Source organism: Homo sapiens, chromosome 7, assembly GCF_000001405.40.
Source record: "Homo sapiens chromosome 7, GRCh38.p14 Primary Assembly".
NCBI lineage: Eukaryota > Metazoa > Chordata > Mammalia > Primates > Hominidae > Homo > Homo sapiens.
This window is the reverse complement of record NC_000007.14, coordinates 144757213-144784417: the sequence shown is the minus strand read 5'-3', so window position 1 is coordinate 144784417 and position 27205 is coordinate 144757213. Positions and strand designations below refer to the sequence as shown.

The 27205-nt window shown below is 37.0% G+C and overlaps 1 protein-coding gene across 35 annotated transcripts in view; it reads left to right on the top strand.

The window, feature by feature from the left end:
• The window catches only part of TPK1 (thiamin pyrophosphokinase 1), a 384497-nt gene that overhangs the window by 52020 nt on the left and 305272 nt on the right, over nt 1–27205 (top strand). For all 35 annotated transcript variants that reach the window (NR_146934.1, NR_146935.1, XR_001744630.2 and 32 more), the window contains one exon: nt 18467–18538. Coding sequence is in view for 18 of the 35 variants with exons in the window: in XM_005249970.2 (XP_005250027.1) it covers nt 18467–18538 (72 nt within the window). In the remaining 17 variants the exon portion in view is untranslated. Of the gene's footprint in view, nt 1–18466; nt 18539–27205 lie in introns of those variants that run through there.

The following is a 27205-nucleotide window of genomic DNA, read 5'->3' as shown; positions in this document are numbered from 1 at the left end:
AAAGGATTTGGGAACCCAGCAGATTACATAATCCATTCCTGTAATATTAAAAATAATCTACATATAAAGTAAGGGAATTGTAAGTAGAGAGTTGATTAGCCACATTGTTTATTCATAAAATTATGGATATGTGTCTCATAATGTGTGAAAACTTTGTATGTTCCCTTTTGTTGGCCGAGATCATTTCCAGGTGTGGGTGTGAGTGGAAGAATGGTAGAGGAGTGCAGTTTAGATGGAAACCTTCCAGGGATTTGCAATTATAAGTGTTTTTTATTATTAACTGGCCCTGCAAGTGTGGGAGTGTTTCATTTTCTTTAGATTCATTGTCTAACTTATAATGAATATCATGAGAAGAAATAAAATTCAGTTTCTAGCTGATTTAGAATTGGATCATATACTTCATTAAGTGAGGGATGCTGATAGTAAGTGTGTTATACCTTGTTCTTTCTGTCTCTATGTATCTGTCCGTTCATCTGCCCATCTGTTTTAAGATTGTGTTTCTGTTCATACAGAGTATAGTATCGTTAGAAGCAATATTGTGCTTCTGTTGTGCAATATTGACATAGAAAGTTTTAAAGATTAAGTGGAAAGAAATTTAGAACACTCCGAAATTGTGATGGTTTAGTTTATGTGCATGTGCACACATTTAGTTTTATGGGTAACTATTTTCATGACACAGGAAACAGCACAATGAATGGCTTTTTTAGGTTATGTTAGAAACAGTTCATTGTATAACTTCTTTGTGCCAGGTCTTACGTTGAATTTTCAAGCTAATAGGATGAATAAATTATGTTTTCAGCATATCTGAAATTTATAAACTGTTAAATGAGATGTATATAGTTATTATTAGACGGAATTGTGAATACCATGGTTGGCAGGTGAAAATGATTAATGGGTAAAAAGAAAAGATGTAGGGAAAGGGGAGGGGGGTAAAGTATTTTCTGTTGGTTTTGAAAGATAGGTAGGTCTTTGGCAGGGACAGGAATCTACATTTGTTGAATATTTACTTACATTGCTAGGCACTATACAGCTCTCTATAAGTATAATCTCACTGAGTCTCCTGTTACTATAGTCCACACTTTGTAGGCTCAGAGATGTTAAATTAATTTCCCAAATATTCCAGTAAGGCAGCTAATAAACGAGAAAACTTGGATTTGAGCTAGGTCTGATTCCAATCATTGTATTAATCACTGTGCCTAATGACTGTACTATTCTTATTCATGTGTACTTAATCACTGTACTATTCTGAAAGGTATTCAAGACAGAGGAAAAACCATAACAAAGATCTGGGAACTATGACAGTTCCTGACAGGTTCACAGAATCAGGATCAGCCTGCTAGACTAGAGCCAAGGTGGAGCTGGACACTTGGTCTCTGACACAGTCTCTGTCAAACCAGGATGTGCTGTCTGTTCAGTCATTGATCAGTTTTTTGATGAGTGTTACTGAGTATCTGTTGTGTGCCAGGCAGTTTGCTTGGTGCTAGGGATTCAGAAATGAACACATGCTCTTGCCTTTAAAAGCTGAGTCTAGTAACAAAACTGAGACTGTCAGTGATGATTTTTTGCTTTGCTTGTTTGCCTAAGAAGTACTTCCTCACTCAATATAAATGTCTAGATTGTTGAATTATCTTACAGTTTCAAAACTATATTAGGTACATGTGTTCTGTTCGGAATGTGTCCCCCAAAATCCGTGTGTTGGAAAATTCATCTTCCAACATGGCAGTGTTGAGAGATGGGGTGCTTGGGTCATGAGGGCCTTGCCTAGAAGGCGCTCACTAGACATTGATGCTGGCGCTTTGATCTTGGACTTCTCAGCCTTCAGAACTCTAATAAATTTCTCTTCTTTATAAATTGCCCAGTCTATTGTATTCTGTTATAGCAGCACAAACAGAGTGAGAATCTTCTTTCTCTCTCTACACACACACACACACACACAATATATATATATAGACATATATGTTGTACCTATATACACACTATGTATATATAGAGATGTAGTTTTATAACTTTATTCTGAAATTAATTGAGGCAAGTAATTTTGGTATCTTTTATCTTCAATTTTTTTTCCAAGAAAGAGGCCCCTTTATTTTCCTTGTTGAACTACTACTATTTTGATATACTTGGTTCTCATAATTTCAGTGCTGAAGCTATTGACTTAAAAAGTACATTGCTCCTGCTGTTAAAATTCTTAAAAGTTTCATAAACGAGTGTCAAATCAATCTGTGACTGAATGAACGCAAATGCAACGTTGCTTTCCTTTAACTAATATGTGGCTGGTGTGCTGCTGCTTCTTCCCCTGACAGAACGGAAATATTTTGAAGTATACCTCAGCCTTTTAATAATTTTCCAATCTGTTTCAATCTTCTGTAATTACTCATAAATTTCCTATCCTCACTTCTTTTTAACAAAGCTTTTGAATGTAGTACAGACTTAGTATAAACATTTATCTGATCCAAAGGCAAATATAGAAAACGTTAATTTTCCCTTTCTGCTTTTCATTTCTACTCTCCTAAGGTATGGTTTTGACATGTTAACACCTTTTCTATATTCATTTCTAGTAACTATTGATGAAGAGAACTGTTGTATGTCAAGAAGTAATTTAAAAAGATGAATAGAATTAGGAATTAGGATGGATATGGATATGAGTAAGTTCTTAAATATAACACTGTTTTATAAAATCTTCCCCTAAGCTTTGAAGAACAAATGTTTTCTGAGTTCCCTATAACTTATTTCAGCAGAGGAAAAAACCCCTACATGGTGTTTAGAGTGAGTTGCATCTCCTTTTGCTGTTTAGGGAATTAGTGGTTCTAAGTCCCTTTCTCTAGTCTCTTAAAAGTTTCCAATCTACGCAGACAAATCAGCATGAATTATTTAATAATTTTTGGGAAGAAAGGATGCTAGATAGTGTTGCACAAATTATTTGCTTTACTTGTAGTCTGAAACCCAAACAATCTATCATTTTAGTGATCCTTTATTATATTCTAGCCTAACATTTAAGGATTGTTGGCCAGCAACTTCTTAGGAGTGGGATACATTGCTTGGGAGGTCGCTTTCCATCAGTAGGAACTCTTCTATTTTACTTGTTTCACATATATATATATATATAACTTATTCACATATATATTATATAATAAATATATAACACATATATTTATATATTATAATATATAAATTACATATAATATATAATATACATTACATATAATATATAATATACATTACATATATATAATATATATTACATATAATATATAATATATTACATATATTACATATTACATATATAATATATTACATATATTACATATTACATATATAATATATAATATATTACATATATTACATATTACATATATAATATATAATATATTACATATACTATATAATATATTACATATACTATATAATATATATGATATATAATATATCATATATAATATAATATATAATATATATAATATAATTAATATATAATATAATATATAATATGATATAATTAATATATATTATATAATATATAATATATAATATATAATGTTATATATATTGATTATATATTATATATATAATATATAAAATATAATATATATTATATATATAATATATTATATATATTATATATTATATATAATATATTATATATATAATATATAATATAATATATATGATATATATTATATATAGTATATATATTATATATATTATATATTATATAATATATAATATATAATATATATAATATATAATATATATTATACATTTTATATATATAAAATATATATATTATATATGTTATATATAATATACATAATATATATTATATAGTATAGTATATAATATACTATATTATATAGTATATAATATACTATATTATATACTATATAATATAGTATATTATATTATGCAAGCTCAGGTGGTAATGCTTGCATGCCTACTGCTCACCTCCTGCTGCCCAGCCAGTTCCTAACAGGCCAGGAACCAGTACTGGGATGCGGCTGGGGAGCTGGGGACTCCTGACATAGAGACCTCGTCTCTACAGAAACAACAACAACAACAAGAAAACTAACTTGATGTGGTAGTATGTTCCTGTAGTCCCAGGTACTTGTCAGACAGGCAGGCAGGAGGATCACTTGAGTCCAGGAGTTTGAGGCTACTGTGAGTCATGATTGCACCACTACCCTCTTGCCTGGGCAACAGATTGAGACCTTGTCTCTAAAAAAAAAAAAAAAAAAAAAGCCAGTTGCAGTGGCTCATGCCTGTAATCCCAGCACTTTGAGAGGCCGAGGCAGGCACATCACCAGAGGTCGGGAGTTTGAGACCAGCCTGACCAACATGGAGAAGCCCCATCTCTACTAAAAATACAAAAAAAAAAAAAATAGCCAGGCGTGGTGGTGTATGCCTGTAATCCCAGCACTTTGGGAGGCCAAGGCGGGCCAATCATGAGTTCAGGAGATTGAGACCATCCTAGCTAACATGGTGAAACCCTGTCTCTATTAAAAATATAAAAAATTAGCTGGGCTTGGTGACTCGTGCCTATAATCCCATCTACTCAGGAGGCTGAAGCAGGATAAATCGCTTGAACCTGGAGGTTGCAGTGAGCCAAGATTGCACCGCTGCACTCCAGTCTGGGCAACAGAGCGAGACTCCGTCTCAAAAATAAATAAATAAATTTTTTAAAAAAGTACAAAATTAATAAGATACAAGAGTAAGATATGCAGAGTAATGCTTCTTTTCACTATTGTGCTCTTAACATTTTCCCTTTTGATGGATAGTCTAAGGATGAAAAGATATATGTGTAAAAATATACGTATAAAAAATTTTTTTTACACAAATGGTAATGTATCATCTGTTATTTGAACCCTCCTTTCCTACTTATTTTTGTCTTGGAGAATGTTCCATGTTTATTCCCATATTCCTGTAGTTTAGGTAATATATAGCTATTTCACTATGTGGGACATAGCACAGCTGTATCAATGGGCTTTTGTGTTCTTTCCATTCTTTATTAAAAACAAAACCTTTGAATACTCTTTGTTAGCAAACTTTTTTTTGTGCGTATGTATATGTATACACACACACAATTATATAGGCTGGATGTGGTGGCTCGCACCTGATAGCACCACTTTGTGAGGTTGAGGTGGGTGGATCACTTGAGATCAGGAGTTCGAGACCATCCTGACCAATATGGTGAAACCCCATCTCTACTAAAAATACAAAAATTAGCTGGATGTGTTGGGACATACCTGTAATCCCAATTACTCCGGAGGCTGAGGTATGAGAATTGCTTGAACCTTGGAGGTGGAGGCTGTAGTGAGCCGAGATCGTGCCACTGCACTCCAGCTTTGGTGACATATAATCTCTGTGAAAAAGAAATGCAATTGTAGAGATACCTGACTTGTTCTGTTTACTTCACCTGGACCTGGATCTGATTAAGGGACACTGAGACTGAGGTGGTATCATTTGCCAGAGTACTTATCTGTGGCCTAGTGTAAGTCATCAGTTGGTGTCAAAGCTTTTCCTGTTGATAGCAGAAGTTGCTCTTAATTTCTCTTAAAGCCCACAGTGCCCATGAGATGAAAATGTTTGCCTGTTTTGGGTTTAGTAGGATTTCCTTCAGTATGGGTTTGACTCTTGATATGGTGGATTGTGTCTGTGTAATCAGAAGTCATTCGTGAATCACAGGTCTTTTGCATTTAAATTTTTACATTTTATTTTTAAAAAACTGAGTGAATAAAATGACTTCTGTTCAGAAGTACTTCGATGACATAGTGTGTTATGTAATCTATATCATTTAAAGAAGGTCCTTTAAAGAAGGTTATTAAAAGTGCTTTTTAAACTCTAATTCCAAGTAATTGTCAGATGTTTTTTCCTCTTAAACTGTAGGTCTCGGGGAACATCAGACTGTTGTTTAAGTATGTCTAATTTAGCTTAATTTGTACTTATTTTGATTATATTTTTAGTATATGTGCTGTCAAAGTGAGCATGTGTATTTATTTTAATTATATGTATTGGTATAACTCGAGTCAAAGTCCTCTTTAAGGAATATTAAAGAAAGAAAAGATCTACATAGTATAATTGTTTATTCTTAGTATTGTTGATATGATTTGGCTTTGTGTCCCCACCCAAATCTCATCTTGAATTGTAATCCCATAATTCCCACATGCCATGGGAGGGACCTGCTGGGAGGTGACTGAATCATGGGGGTGTTTTCCCCCATGCTGTTCTTGTGATAGTGAGTTCTCACAAGATCTGATGGTTTTATAAGCGTCTGGCATTTCTCCTGCTGGCACTCATTCTCTCCCCTGCTGGCACTCATTCTCTCTCCTGCTGGCACTCATTCTCTCTCCTGCTGGCACTCATTCTCTCTCCTGCTGCCTTGTAAAGAGTTGCCTTCCTTCATGATTGTAAGTTTTCTGAGGCCTCCCCAGCCATGTGGAACTGCGAGTCAATGAAACCTCTTTCCTTTGTAAATTACCCAGTCTCAGGTATTTCTTCATATCAGTGTGCGAATGGATGAATACAGTTATTACATGTGAAGCCCACAAAGCTTTAAAGCCCACCTCTTCCCAAAATAATTCTCATCAAACCTAACCAAACCTAAGTAGAAAGGGTTTTCAAAGGGAGTATTTACTGCCATGTTGAACCTCCTTGGCCTTTCTTCTACTGCTTGCCATGAAGAGATTCTGTGCTTTTTGATATGGGTGGACATGGGTTGAGGTTACAGGAGTAGCCTAAGGATAAAAGTCAGGCTTTCTGTTTGATTTAGAAGCGCATTCCAAACTTAGAGTCTGCCTTCAGGAAGTGTGTTGAACCGGCTTTTCAAGTGTAAAGACTATTGTGGGCCCTGCTGTCAACATGTCAAAACTAATGTGATGGACTATAATTTTTAGTACTTTATGATGAACCCTTAGGGTTATGGCATTACATCTACAGTTTGCTAGGCAGTGATTGATTTTCTTGATTGACAGGAGACACAGTTTATTGTGCCCCATGTCTGCAGGGCAAGGGACAGTTGATGGAGCAGCTTTGAACTCTGCCAGCAATCCAGAGATGTCAGTGTGCCAAGATAAAGAACTCAACTTCATTCATTTGGTTATAGTGAGAATGTGTTTATTGGCAACAAGAATATGGCTAACCTTTGTAAGCGTAAAGAAAGAAAACATTTCTTGCTATAGCCTTCTACTTTTATGTCAAGAAAGACTCAGAACTTTGTCAGGTTTCACTTGCACTTCCCCCCACTTCCTACAGAGCAGAAGCTTACTAGTTGTAAAATATAAAGTGTTCTTTTTCTCATGCATTTCTAACATATATAGATTCTTGTGAGAATTTATTGGGGCATTTTGTTTATAGTGGCATAGATTTTATAATATTAGGTTTAGTAAACTTGGACAGACCCATTACAGTTGCATTATGGGAGGTAATGCTCTTAGATGGAAACTGATTTAAATCATTCAGAATCTCTTTACACTTTCAACTTGAAAGGTTGGATGACAATAACTAGATATATGCTCAGGTTTGCAGGGCCCAAGGCATATTACATGGATTTCTTTCACTATATAGGTAGTAAGCCTAAACATCTATTTACCTCAAAAATACTTAATCTATTCTCAAAGAAAATATTTACAAACTTTGAAATTGTATAGTTGCACATTTTGAACCATCTCCAGTTTCATTAGATTGTTCTTGAGCTATCATGATCAAAACACGATTTAGCGATTTGAAGGGAAGCCATTTGGCATCTGTAGCTGTTGCTGTTGTCCTTTCTAATACCGTTCCTGGAACATTTTGTATCATATTGATTTAAGTGTAGTACTCAGGGCTTCAGGACCTGGAAAGGGCCACTGAGTTTTAGGAGGGAGTAATTTCATTCTGCAAAGAATCCTTTTGGGCAAGCAACCAAGGGAAGAGTACTTATTCAAATTGGGGACGAGTCACTTGATTTTTAGAGAAAGCATATGGAATTGATTTATTGTAAGTGGACATAAAGTCATTGCTGAAAGTGCCGCTCAGCAGATACTTATTGAGTGCTTACTGTGTATGTGGCACAGTTTTAGGTAATGGATCCAGGAATTTATGTGCTAGTGTGGGGAGACAGACATTAGAAAAAAGATTGAATGAACAAACTGGTGATAAATTTATTATAAAAAACAAATCAGGTTAAGAGTGAGTGCTAGTGTGGAGTCGAAGGTGTTTCTATCTTACATAGATTGCTCAGGGAAGTACTATGATAACTAACATTTGAGCAGAGAGCCAAGGAATTAGTGTGAAACGGAAAGTAAGGCATTAACTGAATATGTGGCTATCTACAGTAAGTCTAAAAGGTGGCATTGTGCTCTGTATGTTTTAAGAGCAGCAAGGAGGGCAGTGTGTCTGTCGCAGGGATGGGGCCTGTGGGGGAGGAGGGAGGGACATAGGAGATAAAGTAGGGAGAGAGAGAAGCCAGGTTATGTAGAGCTTTGTAGGTGATTTGTGAGGAATTTGACTTTTACTGTGAAAGGAAGCCAGTGGAGGTTTTTGAACCAGGAAATAACTTCCTCTGACTATATTTTAACAAGATCCATCTGGCTGGTGTGTGGAGAATAGAGTATAAGAGAGGCAAGTGTAGAAGCAGAGAGGCCAATTAGAGGGCTGTTTTATACAGTCTAGAGATGAAAACTGTTCACGGGGAATAGAGCGTCGGTGGTAGATATGGTACTTGGATGGGCAGCACTGTGGATGGAGCAGGTTTGCATGGAGAGAAGATTCAGAAATCTGATTTGGACTTGTTGAGTTTGAGATGTCTGTTAGTTCTCCAAGTGGAATTGTTGAATAGGCAGTTAGACATAGAGTTCTGGAGTTCAGGGGGAAAGCCCCGGGTTGGTGTCTTGCATATGGAAGTCACTATTATAGACGGCATTTGAAGCCATGAGACTAAAGGGGATTACTTAGGGAGTGGGTATAGATTGAGAAAAGGTCCAAAGATCTGCATCTGGGGCACTGGGCACTCTTACATATGGAAGCTAGAGATATTCACTATTTATTCAACAAGTTTTATTCAGTACTTTCTATGCAGATAAGGAATAAGCAGCAAACAAGGCTGAGAAGGAGTGGGTCAGTCACACAGAAGGAGAACCAATAGAGAGTGTTTTCCTCAAGTCAAGGGATGGGGGGATTGCTTGCCCAAAGTGATTCTCCGCAGAATGAAATCACTCCCTCCTAAAACTCGATGGCCCTATGTCCTGAAGCCCTGAGTACTACGCTTAAATCAATATGATACAAAATGTTCCAGGAAGGGTACTAGAAAGGACAATAGCAACAGCAGCAAAAGCCAGTTGTCTTGCCTTCAAATCGTTAAATCGTGTTTTGATCATGATAGCTCAAGAACAATCTAATAAAACTGGAGATGGTTCACAAAGTGCAACCACACAACTCTCTCCCTACTTTATTTCCTGTCCCCCTCCTTTCTCCCCCACCGCCCCCATCCCTGATCATTCAAGAAGAAAGATTCAAGGGGTGATCTACCCTGTTATGCTGCCGAGATGTATTAGGCAAGAAGAGAACTGAGAATTAGTCATTGAGTTTTACAGAAGAGGTCACTGGTGACCCTGATGAGCATTATTTATGGGATATGGTAGGATGTACATCTCATTGAAGTAAGTTTTGCTGGAGACTGAAATAGAAGGATGAGGCGAAACCCGAAGATGATGAAGGATACAGTGATTATATAATTTATTATCCAAGCCAGGGCAGTCTGCGAATGAATGGAAGGGGACACAGTTTGTTATTATGCTTGTGCAACTGGCATATACCATTTGGTCACTCTTGGGAGAGGACAAGAAAGATTTCTCAAGGAAGTACCTGTTTATTTCTACTCTTTGTTTACTTTCTCTGAAGCAATTTCTTATATGTGACTTACCAATTTTTTTAGTCCATTGGTAATTCAATTATTTTAATAGACTCTGGTATGGAATATTTGTTCAGAGCACTTTAATAGTTCTGCTTTGTCCACATGCAATTTATTTCCTCAAAGAATGAATTGACTTGACACTTTTGATTTCCCTATGCACACTTGAAAAAAATACTGTGCTTAAATATAGAAGTTTGTGCAATATGAATACGAAACTCAGTACTCTAGAATTTTCATGGTTTAATTGAAATACTTTTTAGGGATGAGATATTCGTAATAATAATCTTTGGTCCTTTGGCAAAATAACTGTTATAATGACTGGCATGTGCTTTGGCTAATATTCATTTTATATCAGTTTCAGTAATTTTTTAAACAGAACATAAAAACCCTTGATAACTTGCCATTAATATTTTTTCTATTGTAAATTGTGTTTTATTATAATGTAATTTCATTTACAATACTGGGCTTCAGTTTTTTTCCTAAACAAATCTCATACCATATCAATTTTCAAAGGGGAATTCATTTGTGTTTATGAAAATCCACAAATAATTTATTGTTTGCTATTTATATATAAAATTTTCAGAGAACAGCAATGAAAAAGAGTGAGATACAGATGAAATTAATATGTTTTAAAGTAACATTGCTGGTTATGAGGGCTTTACACTGTCATTAGCTAATAGCATAAGACACCATACCAGTGGTTCTCAACTTTGGTGACATGTTAGACTCTTGTGGTGCTTGTAAAAAATCATGATGCATGGGCCCTACTCCAGGCAAGTTGAATAAGGATCTCTTGGGGAAGGAGTTGGCTTGCTTGCTTGCTTATTTATTTATTTAGAGAGAGGGTGTCACTCTGTAGTTCAGGCTGGGATGCAGTGGCATGATCATAGCTCAGTGTAACCTTGAACTCCTGGGCTCAAGCAATTCTCCCACCTCAGCCTCCAGAGTAGCTAGGACTACAGACATGTGCCACTGTGCCAAGCCAGTTTTTTAAACTTTTTTTTTATAGAGACAGGTTCTTGTTGTGTTGCCCAGGCTGGTCCTCAACTCCTGTCCTCAAGCAATCCTTCTACCTTGACCACCCACAGTGCTGGGATTATAGCCACTGTGCTAGCTGGCATTAAAAAAAATCTGTGATTACAGAGAGGCTGAGACCTACTACTCTATATACTGAAGGATAAATTTATCATTTATGATAATTGATGTAAGTCTGAAGTTCAAATGTGTTTATAATTTCCCTTCCTCCCTCCATCCCTTTCTTCAGAGCTTAGTTCTTATCAGAGCTAGTTAGAGTCTACTTCAAGCTTGTTAAGACTTGCTAGTTCTAGGAGGAAGAAGTGAGCAGTTCAGTATTTACTTGTATGCTTCTGCATGCTTGTGCAGAATTTGTATTATCTTCAATATGTGTTAAAGAATATCTTTAAGCCACTTACCCATTTTGTGAAGATTATGCAAAACTGAATAATCTGTAGTTTTGCTTTCCTGGGCACAGGTAAACTGTAGGTCATCCTGATATACAGGAGAAGAGTGTGAGGTGCTGCTGACATCTCTGTGTGGTGCAGCTCTCGCATTTCCTTAGCATATCTCACTCGCAGTAGATAACCTGTGACCATCTACTATAAGGACAAGTGAGGTCCTTGTGCTTGTCTGCATACTAAATATCGTCTTAATTTCTTTTTAATTAAAAAATACATCAACCTTTCACTCCTGAGTTGCATGACTGCGTTTTCGAGATCATTGATTTAGAGAGTGACTGTGGTTTCTCTCATAGAATTCAAATAGTTTTCCTTCTCACAGTCGGATATAAAAAGAAATTGGTTTTCTTGAGATTTTCTCTTCTGTTCTTGTTTTACTTCTTAATTAAAAGAAAATCTGGATGTCATTTAGTTTTCCAAAGGTGGAATAGAATTATCTTTGCCTTCTGGCATAGTGGGTTTTTTTCTTGCCTTTTTTCCTGAAGTCCAAACATGCTTTTGGGCTTCCGTCATAAGGGTTGACAGTTTTGTCCCATGGAGTAATCACTGAATGAATACCTGATGGAATAGTTGTTCAGTTCTGTTTTTGCTTGCCTCAGAGCTTTTTAAAAAAATTAATAGACTGAAAAAAATAACTTTAGATTTACAGAAACAGTTGAGAAGATAGTACAGAGAGTTGTTATATAAGCCCCATGAGCAGCTTCCCCTATATTAACATTGGACGTTAGTATGGTGCATTTGTTATAATTAATGAACCAATATTGATACATTATTATCATTTTATTATTCCATAGTTTATTCAGATTTCCTTAGTTTTTGCCCAGCATCCTTTTACTGTCCAGGCATCCCCTCCAGGATACCACATTACGTTTAGTTGTCAGGTCCCCTTGGCTCCTCTGACAGTGGCAGTTTTTCAGACTTTCTTTGTTTTTGCTGACCTTGGCAGTTTTGAGTAACATTGGTAAGTTGTATTGTAGGATGCGCCTCTATTGGAATTTATCTTATATTTTTCTCCTGATTAGACTAGGGTTATAGACTTGGGGGAGAAAGACCCTGGAGACAGTGCCATTTTAATCACATCATGTTAAAGATACATACTATAAACATGATTTATGACTATTGATGTTGACCTTGATCACCATCCTGAAGTGTAGTGCTTATTATATTTCTCTACTGTAAAGGTTTCTCCCTCTTTTCATAATCCTCTTTGGAAGGAAGTTACTATGTGCAGCCCACTCTCTGCTGTGTATAGCCTATAGCTATGTTCTTTCTCCTTTAGGATGGAGGATTGTATAATTTATTTGGAATTATTCTGCCTGGGAGATTTGTCTCTTGTCACCTGTGTATTAATCCATATGGATTGATGGATATTTATTTCATACTCTGGGTTGTAATCCAATGCTACTTTACTTTTTCCTCAAATTGTTAACAGTTTTGGCCATTGGGACCTCTTTCAGTTGGCTCTTGTGCCCCTCTGACCTACTCTCATCTCTGTGAGTATTTTTGTTTGTTTGTTTAGGGGATCATGTTCTTTCTTTCTTACCGGAACTACCTGGTGCTCCAAGCTCATCTTGAATACTTCCTTAATAATAGAATCAGCCATTTCTCTATAGAGGCAGGATTTTGTTGTTGTGGTTACAGAAGAGGGAGAACTACATACAGTAAAGACAGATGGGATGCCCCTCCCCCTTTCTTAAAATCTGAACTTGTTACGTTTAGTTTTTTACCTTCAAAGGGCCTCTTCCCTTTTTAGCTCAAGGCTGATGATTTGACCTTATTTTTATTTTCATGTTATAAACTTGGCCTTTTGTACTTAACTCAGGATTTTCATGCAATTTGGAGCATTTTGGTTTCAATACATCCATGATTAGGGATTTTTCATCTTCTGTCATTGAAGCGCATTCGAGAAAGCAATTCAGGGACTTTTGACTTAACATTTGAAGGATTAAGACTAGTCTGTCTGTCTTTGTTCTTTTAAATGGAGTGCATCATACATTTTTATAAATAATGAAAAGGTTATTTCACCATCGCATTTGAAATCCTGCTGTCTGTGCCTACATTTGTCTTTGAGATTGCCTTAGGACACCTGATTAAAAAATTTTATAATTTTTATAACATAATGAAGAAGTTCTTTCTAGTTTTTTTCTTAAATCTTTTTGCATATCCCAGGAACAGAATCAATGTGACAGCTGGAGAACTACTTGAAATAAGACTATTGATTTTTCTTACTTCCTTAGTTCCCAGAGTTTTCTGAATTTTGGGGCATTTAGAACCAGAGGCATTGTCCCATAATTCAGTATCTGAGAGTGATATGGAGCTATATTGTGGTGGAATGTTTGGCTGAGAAACACCCATACACTATTTAGGAACCATGGTGATTCTGTATGCTATTTTTTCTGCAACCCGCTATGGATTAGTAATCAGGAAGGCTGCGAGCGTAAAATAAATGCCATACTGACTTCCAGGGGAGACAAGATTAGAAAAGGAAAGACTGTCAGATCTTATTAGAAAACTAAACTAGATTAGAAGAGAATATCAGATCCCATTACCTAAATAACTTTATATACAGAAACAGCCTACCATAAATGTTATGTATAGAAATAGCTGAAGTGGTTAATTCTTTTTTATTAATAACATCATTAGTAAAGCCTAACTGTACTATACATTTTATACTGCTTCATTCTTTTCAAAAATGAAATGCCTTCACGGATATTACCTTAATGAAAGTATTGGTCTAGAGGAGCAGTAATGTGGATAATAGTGCTTTCCTCTCTTACCAGATGGCTCTGTGAAGCACAAAAATACCAAGTTCATATATCAAATAATCAGTAACAGCAGTTTCAATCATTCATGTAAACTTACATTCAATATTGTTGAATGCCTCTTTTGGCAGTGTAGACTTTGCTACAGAGAAAAGGACCATTGGGTTATCCAAATTATTAGCTCCTTGCTGTTGAAATCTTATTGAGCATTTACCATGAGCCAGACTCTGAATCTCTTAAACTGATGCTCTGTCCAGGTGGGATGAATGAATGAGCTAATGCATTCATTTTGAATAGTGCATTTTGATGCTTGTCTTCTCTTCTTTAGAGTCATCTCAGATTCTTGTTTAGGTCATCTTTACCTTAACACAATCTGGACTGTGATCACTGCATTCATTACAATTAGGTTTTTTTTTTTCTCTAGAATATAGAAACCCAAAATAACAGCGACTTGTACAGCATAGAAGTATGTTTTTGTTTTTTGTTTTTTGTTTTCGTTTTTGTGTCCCCAAAACCTAGGTCAGGGCTTGACACATGTTACTTGAAATAATAAATGCATTGCCTTGCCCGATTAAGCTTCACTGCCCCCACTGAGGTGATAGATTTTAGCCTATGAAACAAGCACCATCTGGGTTTAGGGAACTGGTATGGTGATAACAAAGCAGGATTTCTTAAAGCTTAGTCCATGGACCACCTGTGGTAGAATAACTTGCTTGTAAAATGTAGATTGCCATGCCTCATGCCAAGGGATGTAATTTGAAAGGTGTAGGATACGGTCCAGAAATTTTCATGTCTTATAAATTCCTCTGGGTGATCTGAGAACCACTGGGAAGGAAAGGAAAGGAGAGGAAGAAACTGATTTGCAGTCTCACAACCTTTTAATAAATTCTCATAAAGTAGTGGCAGGGGCTCTATTTCCAGTCCTGGCTCCTGAAGTCATGGTAGGACCTATTGCTTCTAGGAGTGCTCTCCAGAATTAAGGCCAAGATTAGGAAATGACTTAGAAGTTTATTTTTCACTCATGTAAAATAAGCTTTGAGGCAGGTAGTGAAGTGCTGGAACGGAGGAAGATTCATGAAGTCATCAGCAACCCAGGCTTCTTTACTCTGATGCCCTTGTTCTTATGATCCAAGGTGGCTGCTAGAATTTCATTCAAAGAATCTATCAATTCTTACTTCCAGATGGCAGGAAGGAGGAAGGAAATGAGTAGAAGATAAATCCCCCTTTATTTTAAGGAGACTTGCCAGATATAACAAAGAAAGCTATATACATCTCTTTGGCCAGAACTTAGCCTTATGACCACATTTGGCCACAAGGTTATTTTTTTCTTACCTGGCCCAGTGAAATGAACAAAAATCCCCTCAGGATCCTCTTAATAAAGAAGAGGCTATTACTGGTCTTCACCATAATCATTCATTCTAAAGCTGCCCAAATAAACATCCTGGATTCTGTTGACCTCTTGGCAAGTGATTTTGCCAGTTCTCAAAACCAGCTATCGTCACCATCCTGTTTACGCCTACTCTTATGTCTCCTCCTCATAATTGGTGGGAAAAGTGCTAAAATTATAGATAAATATGATTTCATATTACCTTTTAGTTAATTCCAATTATATTTCTATTTTTAAAATGTGGATTGTTATGTCCTGTAGTCTGTTTTTTATACAGTTGTTTTAAAAATGTTCCGTATTCCACTCTAATTCTCCCCTCTCACTTTATTTTACCTTGTTTTAAATAGGTGTAGGTGCAGGCCGGGCACCTGTAATCCCAGGTGGCTCATGCCTGTAATCCCAGCACTATGGGAGGCCGAGGTGGGTGGATCACCTGAGGTCAGGAGTTCGAGACCAGCCTGGCCAACATGATGAAACCCTGCCTCTACTAAAAATACAAAAATTAGCCAGGCTTGGTGGTGGGCGCCTGTCATCCCAGCTACTTGGGAGGCTGAGGCAGGAGAATCACTTGAACCTGGGAGGTGGAGGTTGCACTGAGCCAAGATAGTGCCGCTGTACTCCAGCCTGGGCAACAGAGCAAGACTCCATCTCTAAAAATTAATAAATAAATAGGGACAGTTCCAGTGGCTCAGGCCTGCAGTCCCAGCACTTTGGGTGGTAGAGGGTCGCTTGATGCCAGGCATTGGAAACTGCTTCTTACAAAAAATAAAAATATTAGCTGGGCATGGTGGTGTGCACCTGTAGTCTCAGCTACTCAGGAGGCTGAGGTGGGAGGATCACCTGTGCCGAGGAGTTTGAGACTGCAGTGAGCTACGATTGTACCACTGTGCTCTGGCCTGGGTGGCAGAGTGAGACCCTATCTCTTTAAAAAAAAAAAAAAAAAAAAAAAAAAAAAAAGACAACCTCAGTTTTGAGGCACATGACGCGCCTTCATGTGCCTCAGTCTCAGTCCCTCTTTTCTCAGCAGGAGATACGCCTTACAGGTGGTGGTGGTGGTGGGGGACACACCATTTCTCTTGACTGCTGTTCAGAGCAGTGCCTGAACAAGGTGTGCTCTGAAAATACCTGTTGAAAGAACAAATGGACAATTTCCCTTCTTCCTCTTACTTCCCTCTCCTATTTAGGATATAAGATTGTTTCTATATTGAAAATATTTTATCTCGACTTTGTTGCATTATTTTTTCCATTTCTCACAGTTAACTTTTTATATTTTAAGGAAAGGTGACTATTCTTCCTTCTTAATCAACTCCTGACTGTTCACTAATTCCTTGGTCACTTCACTATCTTGAGTCTCCCTCTATGAATTTTCAGATTTTCTTTGAGATCTCCCTCCCCTCGGCCTCTTGTTCAATCTCCTTGACATTTCTGTAGCATGCTGTGTTATCGGCTGCATGTTCTTGGAAATACCTTCTTATCCTTCTGCCTTTATGGGTTTTCCTTCTGTATTTTCTCTGTTGACCTCCTTCGGCTCTGTTACGGTGAGGAAAACACAATGTCTTTGCTTTCGTCTTTATTCTTTTCTCTCTTTGCCCTCCCCTGCTTTGTGCAGTATCTCAGTGGCTTGCCTACTCTTTTACCTTCAGCTCTGATCTCTATATGGATTCCGAATTATATAAATTGTGTTTACTACTCATTACTGCATCACTCTTTTTGTAGAGGAATTTAAGTTGGTGCCTCAACTTAAATTCCTACGTTATCTTAAACATTATGTTTAAAATTACTGATGTTAGTATCACATCATTAGGGCATTGCTTCTGAAACTGTTCATTGGAGTAACCCTAATGGATAAGGAGAGCAGCTTCTCGTGGGCTGTTTTTCTTGTCTAGAAAGCCCCTTCCTTTATTCTTTGCACCTTCTTTCTCTTTGAAAGATCAAGTTCAAAAATCTACATTTCACAAAAATCTCTGGGATGACACCAGACTTTATTGGCTTCCTAGCCTTTGAACTCCCGCTATACTCATTTATCTATTTATCTGGCATTCCTCCTGTGCTTCTGTTATATTGTATTTTGAATAAATCATCTTTATTTTAAGTGTCTCATCTCACAGCTTGTAATCTTATCCCTCTTTGTACTCCCAGTGCCTGGTATACAATTGGCACTTAATAATATTTGCTATGGATGATGGCATACCCTTTTTATTTACTTATTGTGTTCCATTTCTAACAGTGAGATTGCTTAAAAACAATTTTTCTTAAACATTTAATTTTTCACAAATGAAATGGAGGGTGCTTGGACTGAACTGAATGACAGATTTTCAATACCTGATTGTACTTTGCTTTGCACTATTTTAAGTACATTATAAAAGGTGTGGAATGATTGTCTTAAAAGTAAACTTTTCTTCATCTTTGTCTTTGGAGTGTCATTAAAAACCTGGAATAAGAGAATCATGAGAAGACCTAGTAGGATTTCTGAAAGCACACAGGGTTTTGCTTTGGAAAGTTCAGGATAGGGTAAGCGTGGAAGGAAAGAGAGAAAAAGAATATGAATGAATGTGAAAATACACACCCACTAGACCCATACCATTTGATAAATAAGGTCAGGATGATATAAAACTAGCCAGGTAGAAGGATAGTTGTGTCAAAGTAGTAGATATATTGGAAGGATGAGAATTTATATCAAGAACATTTGTGCTCTTCACCCCCTACAAAAAGTTTACCCAGTTGTTTCTATGATACATTGCTCAACAATATGGTAATGTGACAGATACACTAAGTAAAATAGGACCCGTTTATGTATGATGCCTTTTAAAATTAAGGTATGGGAAATTCACTGTGATTGAACTTTAGTTCTGTGTATACTGAAAATCTGGACTAGTAGTGTATGATTTTAGACTCATATAAGAGGAACAAAAGACTCAGTTCACTTATGTATTTTATTTTGCTTTCTTTTTTTCTCTAGGGAATTTGAAGTACTGCCTTGTAATTCTTAATCAGCCTTTGGACAACTATTTTCGTCATCTTTGGAACAAAGGTAACCTTAATTAGCATTTCTGTTTCTTTGCTTTCTTACTTTATTTGTGACTGACCAACATGACTATTAAGTACCCTGAAACCTGACTAAAAAGTGGAATTCATAATAAGGTGATTCAATTATTAATGATTAGAATAATTTATTATCGCTTCTCTGTTAAACTGTTTAAATGTGATTTCCAAAGCATGGACTCCGAAGGACGGAATACCATACTGTATTTCAGAACTACAGTGTAGATATTAAGCCTGAATCCTCAACAAGTATTTGTTCAAGTGTAAATTATTTTTGGCACCAGTGGTAGCAGAAAAGCATCCACATGCCTCATCTGTTGCAGCATCCAATAAGGTATCTGCAGGGTGATCAGATTTGCAAAATCAAAAAAGATGATGATGCTAGTATGTAAGAACCTCTTGGGGTGCTGAAAAATATAGTTAAAAATGGGATAGTGTCACAGAATTGATACTATTGGAAGGTTTTGTGTAAGAAACAGGCTTCATTAACTGTTTATATTATTCTTTAACTTTTATAGGATTATCTCTAGGTTGGAAAATAATGTTCAATATCGTTTGCTGTTTTGAATCTCTGTTCTTCTCCCATGAAACAATGAATTTTGTTGTTGTTGTTGTTGTTGTTTTTCCAAAGGAGCATTTTTGTTGAGTTGTCAGTGGAAGTTTTAGGCCAAGGTAGATAGGCAGAAGAACTTGATTCGTGATGCATTGATGCATATTTTTGCCATTCCTGATTCCCTCTTATCATCATAGAACTCTTTAGTATTCTCAACATTGTGTTTATGTTTCTTAGAATGCAAACCTCGTATGTGAATAAGCTCACATCTGTAGTTGAGATAGTTGTGATACTAGAGGGAATAAATCATCACAAGTGATTTTTGTGTAAAGAACCTTTTTTGTCTAATATAGTGAAAACTCTTGGTATTCTAAATTGAACTATGTGTAAGTTAGTGAACTTAAAATTTCACATTATAATTGTACTAACATTTCTCTCAAAGCATAAAAATTATTTAACCATTAACTTTTCTTTCTTAGCACCCCACTAATTAGGTAGTTATTTGAATGGCTGTGATGTCTTTTGTCACTGTGTCTCTAGTGCCTAGTGCAGTATCTGTCACATAATTGCTATTAATGACAATAAATGAAAGAATGAATTTAGTATAGCTTCTATTGCTAGAAAATACTAAAATGGTTAGGTATATCCTTTCTAATTGAATTTATTGTATCATATTTTATATTGTTTGGGGAGAGTGTGAGTGACTGTTTTATTGCAAACATTAGAAATAGAATAACCGTTGATCCAAACCATTGGAGACCTTGAATATTCAAAGCTACATCTAAAGAAGTCTGTTACGTTTGGGGGAGTTGAGGGTCTTAATTTTGCAAACAGTGTGAATGATGTAGACTTTTGAGCCGACCGAAGTTCCTCATTTCATTAGTTTTTCCATAAGGATCAGTCTGTACATGAAAAAAAACTAAGGTATCTGAAGTATCCGGTATACTGAAATGGCTAGTTAATTCTCATTTCCAAAATAATTTGTCTTTTTTAGATTATTGAGATGTTAAGTTCTTTCACATATATACTAGGATAATCCTTGGTGTTCTGGAGCCTTTAACCATTGTAAGAAACAGGCCTATTGATAAATACTAAAGTGTAGGTTTTTTGTGATTCTCTTAACAGAAGCTGTGCTTTTTATGCTTGTAGTGTCCCCTTTTGTGTTTCTTTTCTCCCGAGTAAAGGAAACAAAATAGAGAAGTATTGAGCTTGAGTTGTTAATCTTAACATAGGAAAGGCTTAGGAAAATGGATAGGGCAGCATTGAGAGTTTGGGAGAGGAGACAGTATTATGGGTTGGGGTATTAGCAAGTATGAAGTGGCTTGGGGGTGCTGTCCCCATTACCTTTTAATACGCTCAACATTTTCTGTAACTTCTGTTCTATGATACAAAGATTTGTGAAGAGCTGAAATCAAGGGATGAAGACTGGGCTGTTAAAATGGTTGCAAGCTTCAAAATGCAGAGAAATCTGAAGAGTGTTGCATAGTATATGAGACTCCTGCATAAAACTGGCAATTTCACTTTATGCCAAGGACTTCTGCTGAGTAGATGTTTCCTGAGATTCATTTCAGGGGAAAGACTATGTTGAAAGTTTATCTTAAAGTTTCTTCCTGCAATGGTTAAGTGATATTTTTACCAGCAGCGAATCCATACGGGCCTGCAGCAACCCCATCCTTGCCTGCTCAGGGATATAATTCAGCTGAGGGCAGAAGTAGGTTTAAGGTAAAGGGAGAGACTGAGGCAAGTTTTAGAGCCGGAGTGAGAGTTTATTAAAAAGTGTTAGAGCAGGAGCGAAAGGAAGCAAAGTACACCTGGAAGAGGGCCAAGCGGGTGACTTGAGAGATTTGAGTGCCCTGTTTGGACCTTGATTTGGGGTTTTATACATGGCCATAGTTCAGGGTTTGTGTTTCTTCTCCCCTGATTCTTCCTTTAGGGTGGGCTGTCTGCATTACAGTAGCCCAGTGGCCCAGTGGCCAGCCAGCACTTGGGAGGGGCCACATGCTCAGTGTGTTTACTAAAGTTGTGTGCATGCTCATTTGAGCCATTTTTCCTTTACCAGTCAAGTATTCCCAGAGGAAGATCATATACCAGTTAAACGCCACCATTTTGCCTCTTGCAGTGTGCATGCTGAGCCTACTTGCCCAACTCCAGAGACCTTATAAGGAAGCAGCTGATCACCAGCTCCAGGTGTTTTCTATCTATTGGGAGGTTGCCTTTCCCTGGTGCTGGCTGCCACAAATTATTTTAGAGAAACAGTTTAACAACTGCCTGACCATCACCTATGGTCCCCTGACATTCCTGGGGAGGGGAGTTCTCCTGCTGTGCTCATGTCTGCCTAACTACCTACTCTGACAATGTCAGTTATGAGATTTAGCTTAAATGCCTAAGGAGGGAGTTCAAGAGAGATTAAAATTATGGAGGTTTTAATGTATTTTCTCTTTTATACATCATGAAGTTTAGTGATTTTCTTGGTTAGAAGTCTTGGAGCATATCTCTCTACCTGTTCCAGCATTTTCTACGTTTGGTTTGATGATAAAGTAAGCACTTAGGTAGGTAGATGGGTAAATAGAAAAATGGGTAGATAGAAGTAGAGTTAATATCTAACTTTTCTGTAATATCAGAGGTTATTGCTATTTGTGACTTGCTATTGGTCTTAGGTTTACTAACTTTTTTTTTTTTTTTTTTTTTTGAGATGGAGTCTTGCTCTGTCTCCCAGGCTGGAGTACAGTGGCACGATCTCAGCTCACTGCAGCCTCTGCCTCCCGGGTTCAAGTGATTCTCCTGCCTCAGCCTCCTGAGTAGCTGAGATTACAGGCGCACGCCACCATGCCTGGCTAATTTTTGTATTTTTTAGTAGAGATGGGGTTTCACCATGTTAGTCAGGCTGGTCTTGAACTCCTGACCTCGTGATCTGCCTGCCTCGGCCTCCCAAAGTGCTGGGATTACAGGCTTGAGCCACCGTGCCCAGCTACTAACATGTTTTTAAAAAATATTTTGAGTCAGGCTTTATTTCAGGAAGTGTCTTTCTCTACCTGAAATATGTGATAAGTGCAAAAGTAGGGATATGTATGTTAGAAGGGCTCTGCCTATTTCTTGTAGGTTAGTTATTCTCGACTGGAGTCACAGTGCTAACAGTGTTCTCAAAGTTAGTAGTGGAGATCTCTGTGCTACAAAACATCATGAAAAACAGACATATTGGAATAAGGTTATATTGAGTGTGTATGAAGTTTCTAGGAGTTCAGCTTAACACATATCCTCATTGTTAGCATGTATTCACAGCCTTTCTCCACTTTTTCCACATGATTTACAGCACAGTGGTGATCATGTTAATTAGATTATGGCTAGATGATCAGATTCTTTTACTATCATCCTTAAGATCACCCCAGGGTATGGGCAGTGTACTTATTTTCATTGACACTGAAGTCATAAAATATTTGACATATCAGGCAGGTCTTACAGATTAAAAAGAGGCACAAGTAGCATTCGTGAATTAAAGTATAAGCAAGGTCTTTGGTTTTATAGCATTAGTTATGTTCCATTTGTTATTGACTGACACTAGTTGAGGCCCTTCTGTGTCAGGCATTGGGCTGGTTGCCAGGGACATGATAGTGGCTAGAATTGAGAGGTGGAGTCTGTTAAGTGCAGCCTGTTCCTGTGACGGCATGTCCGAAGCTCTGTCTGTCCAAGCCGCAAGTGCTTAGAATGAACTAGCCATGCCCCTGCTTCTTAAGAATTGATATTTTTGTAATAGTTGGTTAATTGACTCTACTCGTTCATTTCTATTTGCTTTTCTTTAAAATGAAAACACTCTACCTAGTTTGTAATAGACTAAATAGACTTGCCATAATAATTATGCTAATCTTGTGCTAGTGATTAGTATTGGCATTAGGTTTGTTTTAAATGAGGTAGAAATCTGCTATAAAGCACCTTATTTCAATTGTAGTTTTTTTGTGACAAACTCTTTCCTTCTTAAATTATGTACCCCAGGCTTTTATGTAAGCCTTGAGGTTTTCACTTGATTATTTTAAGTTAAACACAACCAACTTTATATTATATAAAGTTTTCTATCCTATAAACTTTATATTAAAGTTTTCTATCCTATAAACTTTATATTAAAGTTTTCCTTTATCTTTCCTTTTTCATTCTTATTTCTCTATTTAGTGGGACCTATTTATCTCAGTTTTGGTGTCTTCTGTGTTTTTTTCTCATTAAAATAGAGAAATCAGATACCTGTCACTTTTACGTGTAGATTGGTTGAATAGATAGTTATGCTTTAATGTGCTTGGTATCAGTTGCTATTTTAATCCTGTTTCATCTATTGTATGCACTATTCCTGTTAGAGGAATTTTAAGGGAAACATGTTTTTTGATGATAACTTTGAAATTTTGAAATCACCTTAAGGTGATTTCTTTAAGCTGACCCTGGAAGGGCCAGTCCCCCCAAGAATGTATATCCAACATAATTTTTTCCTTTGGCCTCATCTCTATGGCTACCTCTTCCTGTGTATTTAATGATTAATCTAAATAGAACTGCCATTTACTTTTTTCCTGCGGAAAATAGACTTTTACTTATTTATATTGCAGACTTTCACCCATCCTTTAAGGTCCAACTCAAATGCCACCTCTTCTGAAAACTTCCTTAGCTTCCCCAGGTAGAGATAGATTTTCTCAAATGTCACCTTATCTTTCCTTGAGGATGAACTTCTTGAAAATGGATGCAAAGTGCTTAGCTGATGGTGTTTTCTTAGTTCTTGTGAGACTGGCCTGGTAGCCGTTGTGGGTCATCCTGACAATTGGGGAAGGTCACTGCCTGTCTTTGATGCAGCCAAAGACAGGTCCTGGAAATCCTCTTGCGCTGATGTGGACCAGTTAGCAGGCTGCAGGCACATGCTTGCGCCTCCTCATGCACTCTCTTTCTCTCTTTTTCCCCAGATTCCTCTTTGGTCTTCAGTCTCAGTTGAGTCCCTTTTCTAATTCTGCTAAACTTGAGCTTTGTCACTCACATTTTTTTTCTCTGCTCTATGACTCCTCTGTACTTATTTGATATTTCCTGGTACACCCAATCAGAACTGATATTTTCATTACTCTCTCCTTCTTTCGTTATAGTGCATGTGCAAAAATGTATTTTTTTTTTTTTTGCCTTTTTGGTTTCATGCCTTTGACAGTTAAGATGCCAGTAAATGTAGCATTCGAATATATCTTCTTTGTCTATTAAGATATTATGGTAGGGTGCCTCTTTTAATTATAGAAGGATATATAAGTTAGCAGTACCATTGTCTTCTGACATTATTGTCTAAAGAGATTAGTCATATATTGGGTCCTTTTTGTTAAATAACTTGTTTATGAGAACTGTAGATTAACTTATTTATTTATTTATTTTTGAGACACGGTCTCACTCTGTGACCTAGGCTGGAGTACAGTGGCATGATCACAGCTCACTGCAGTCATGACGTCATGAGCTCAAGCACTCCTCCCACCTCAGCCTCCTGAGTAGCTAGGACTACAGGCGTGCACCACATACCCAGCTAATTTTTTATTTTTTGTAGAGGTGGGGTCTCCCTATGTTGTCCAGGCTGGTCTCAAACTTGTGGCCTCAAGTGATCCTCCTGCCTCGGCTTCCCAGAGTGCTGAGATGATAGGAATGAGCCACTGTGCCCAGCCATTAACCTTATTTTCATAAATGTAAATTCTTTAGTTTTTCCTTAGATTTTTCATCTTTAATTATAGAACCATGTGTGCATTTTTAAAAGTTAAAACCTCACAGTTTGGTTTAAAAATGTCAGTCCCCATTAACCATATATATATATATATATATATATATATATATGTTTTTTTTTTCTTTTTTCTTTTTTGAGATGGAGTTTTGCTCTTATTGCCCAGGCTGGAGTGCAATGGCACGATCTCGGCTCATTGCAACCTCCACCTCCTGGATGCAAGTGATTCTCCTGCCTCAGCCTCCTCAGTAGCTGGGATTACAGGCACCCACCACCACACTCAGCTAATTTTTGTATTTTTAGTAGAGATGGGGTTTCGCCATGTAGGCCAGGCTGGTCTCAAACTCCTGACCTCAAGTGATCTGCCCACCTTGGCCTCGCAAAGTGCTGGGATTACAAGTGTGAGCCACCATGCCCAGACCCATGAACTATTATTTCTGTCATTATCTTTGTTTTATGCTTTTAATTTTACTTTTCATTATTTCTCATGAAATGATTTTTAAATGTAATTTCTAACAGGGTAATAAGTGAAATCCTACTACTAAATAGAAAGATGCCCCTGAATTGGTGATTGTAAGACCATGTGACTCTGTGTGCTTCATGGCAGTTAGTATAGGCATTTCAACTGCCTGTTTTACTTCATTCTTTATGCCATTTAGATCTCTGTCCAATTTGTATGTCAATTTTTAATGTATCCAGAAAATGACTGCCAAGTTTGTATGGCTACTTATGTTTTCTTTTTTAACATTCAACATTTTATGTATGTTTTTTGATTGTTTGCTCCATGTTTAATTCACTTGCATGTGTATACACACACAGATACACAAACACAAACAGACACACAGTTTTATCTTTTGTTTGCTTCAGTGAAGTGGGCCTGGTGTGTGGATAATTTGAGGAGTTTAAACTCATTGCTAATAATTATCCTTGCTAGAGAGGCTAAGTAGTATCTTTGTGATGCTGTACCTTTAGTGAAAGAAATTAAAATTTAAAAAAACACAAAGAATTCTATTTTTATACTAACCAGGTGGTAGGCTATTACATAAAACTAGAAAATATAAGTGGAACTTCAAAACAGACAATTTACTAGAGGTGAAGTCAACATTTTGCATTTATTTTCTTATAGTTGTTGGTGCCCAGTTCTTTAGAAGGTGTGGTATCATTCTCCCAATCAAAATGCTTGGGTCTCAAATGCCCTTTACTGAAACACAGACATCTTCATTTTTAACAAATATTTACTTTCCTGGTAATATATTTGTTATGCAGTAATTAAGGTCTTTTCTCCTTGGTGGTGTTTCTTTTTTTTTTTCTTTCTATTTCACTTGTAATATACATTTAATCAGTTAGTTTTAAAGACATCTGAAAATGTAGGCTTGGGAAAACAGCCAGAGAAACATGGTGGGGTTCACCTTCGTTTTTTCCCACATTGCGTAGTGTATAGTAATACACAGAAACAGATATTTTTGCCCTGCCCTACTATAAGCTCTACATAATGTTATATGTTAGATGTATATTATTGTTCCTCCTATATATATTTAAATTGTCATTCCATGTTGCTTCTCTTTTGTAATAATTTGTTCCAAGATTGATTCCTTCTAGAATCTTATTTTTAAGATCATGCCATTTAATTGAATATAGGTAAATTAAAGAACGTTTACACTGAGCATTTGTGTGTGATTATACATTAAAAAATAACTTGAACTTTTTTAATAGTCCTAGTTCTTGGGGGCAACTGAGACTTTTGAGCTCTCAGTTTTACAGTGATAGCTGCTTTGGGGTCCATGGAAAGAAACGTCCATGGCACAGAAAAGATCATGAGGGGATATAACATGCTCTCCTCCCATCACGCTACCTAACTTCAAACTATGCTACAAGGCTACAGTAACCAAAACAGCATGGTACTGGTACCAAAACAGAGATGTAGACCAACGGAACAGAACAGAGCCCTCAGAAATAATAGCACACATCTACAACCATCTGATCTTTGACAAACATGACAAAAACAAGAAATAGGGAAAGGATTCCCTGTTCAATAAATGGTGCTGGGAAAACTGGCTAGCCATATGTAGAAAGCTGAAACTGGATCCCTTCCTTACACCTTATACAAAAATTAATTCAAGATGGATTAAAGACTTAAATGTTAGGCCAGGCGCGGTGGCTCATGCCTGTAATCCCAGCACTTTGGGAGGCCGAGGTGGGCAGATCACAAGGTCAGGAGATCGAGACCATCCTGGCTAACATGGTGAAACCCTGTCTCTACTAAAAATACAAAAAATTAGCCGGGCATGGTGGCGGGTGCCTATAGGCCCAGCTACTCAGGAGGCTGAGACAGGAGAATGGCGTGAACCCAGGAGGCGGAGCTTGTAGTGAGCTGAGATCATGCCACTGCA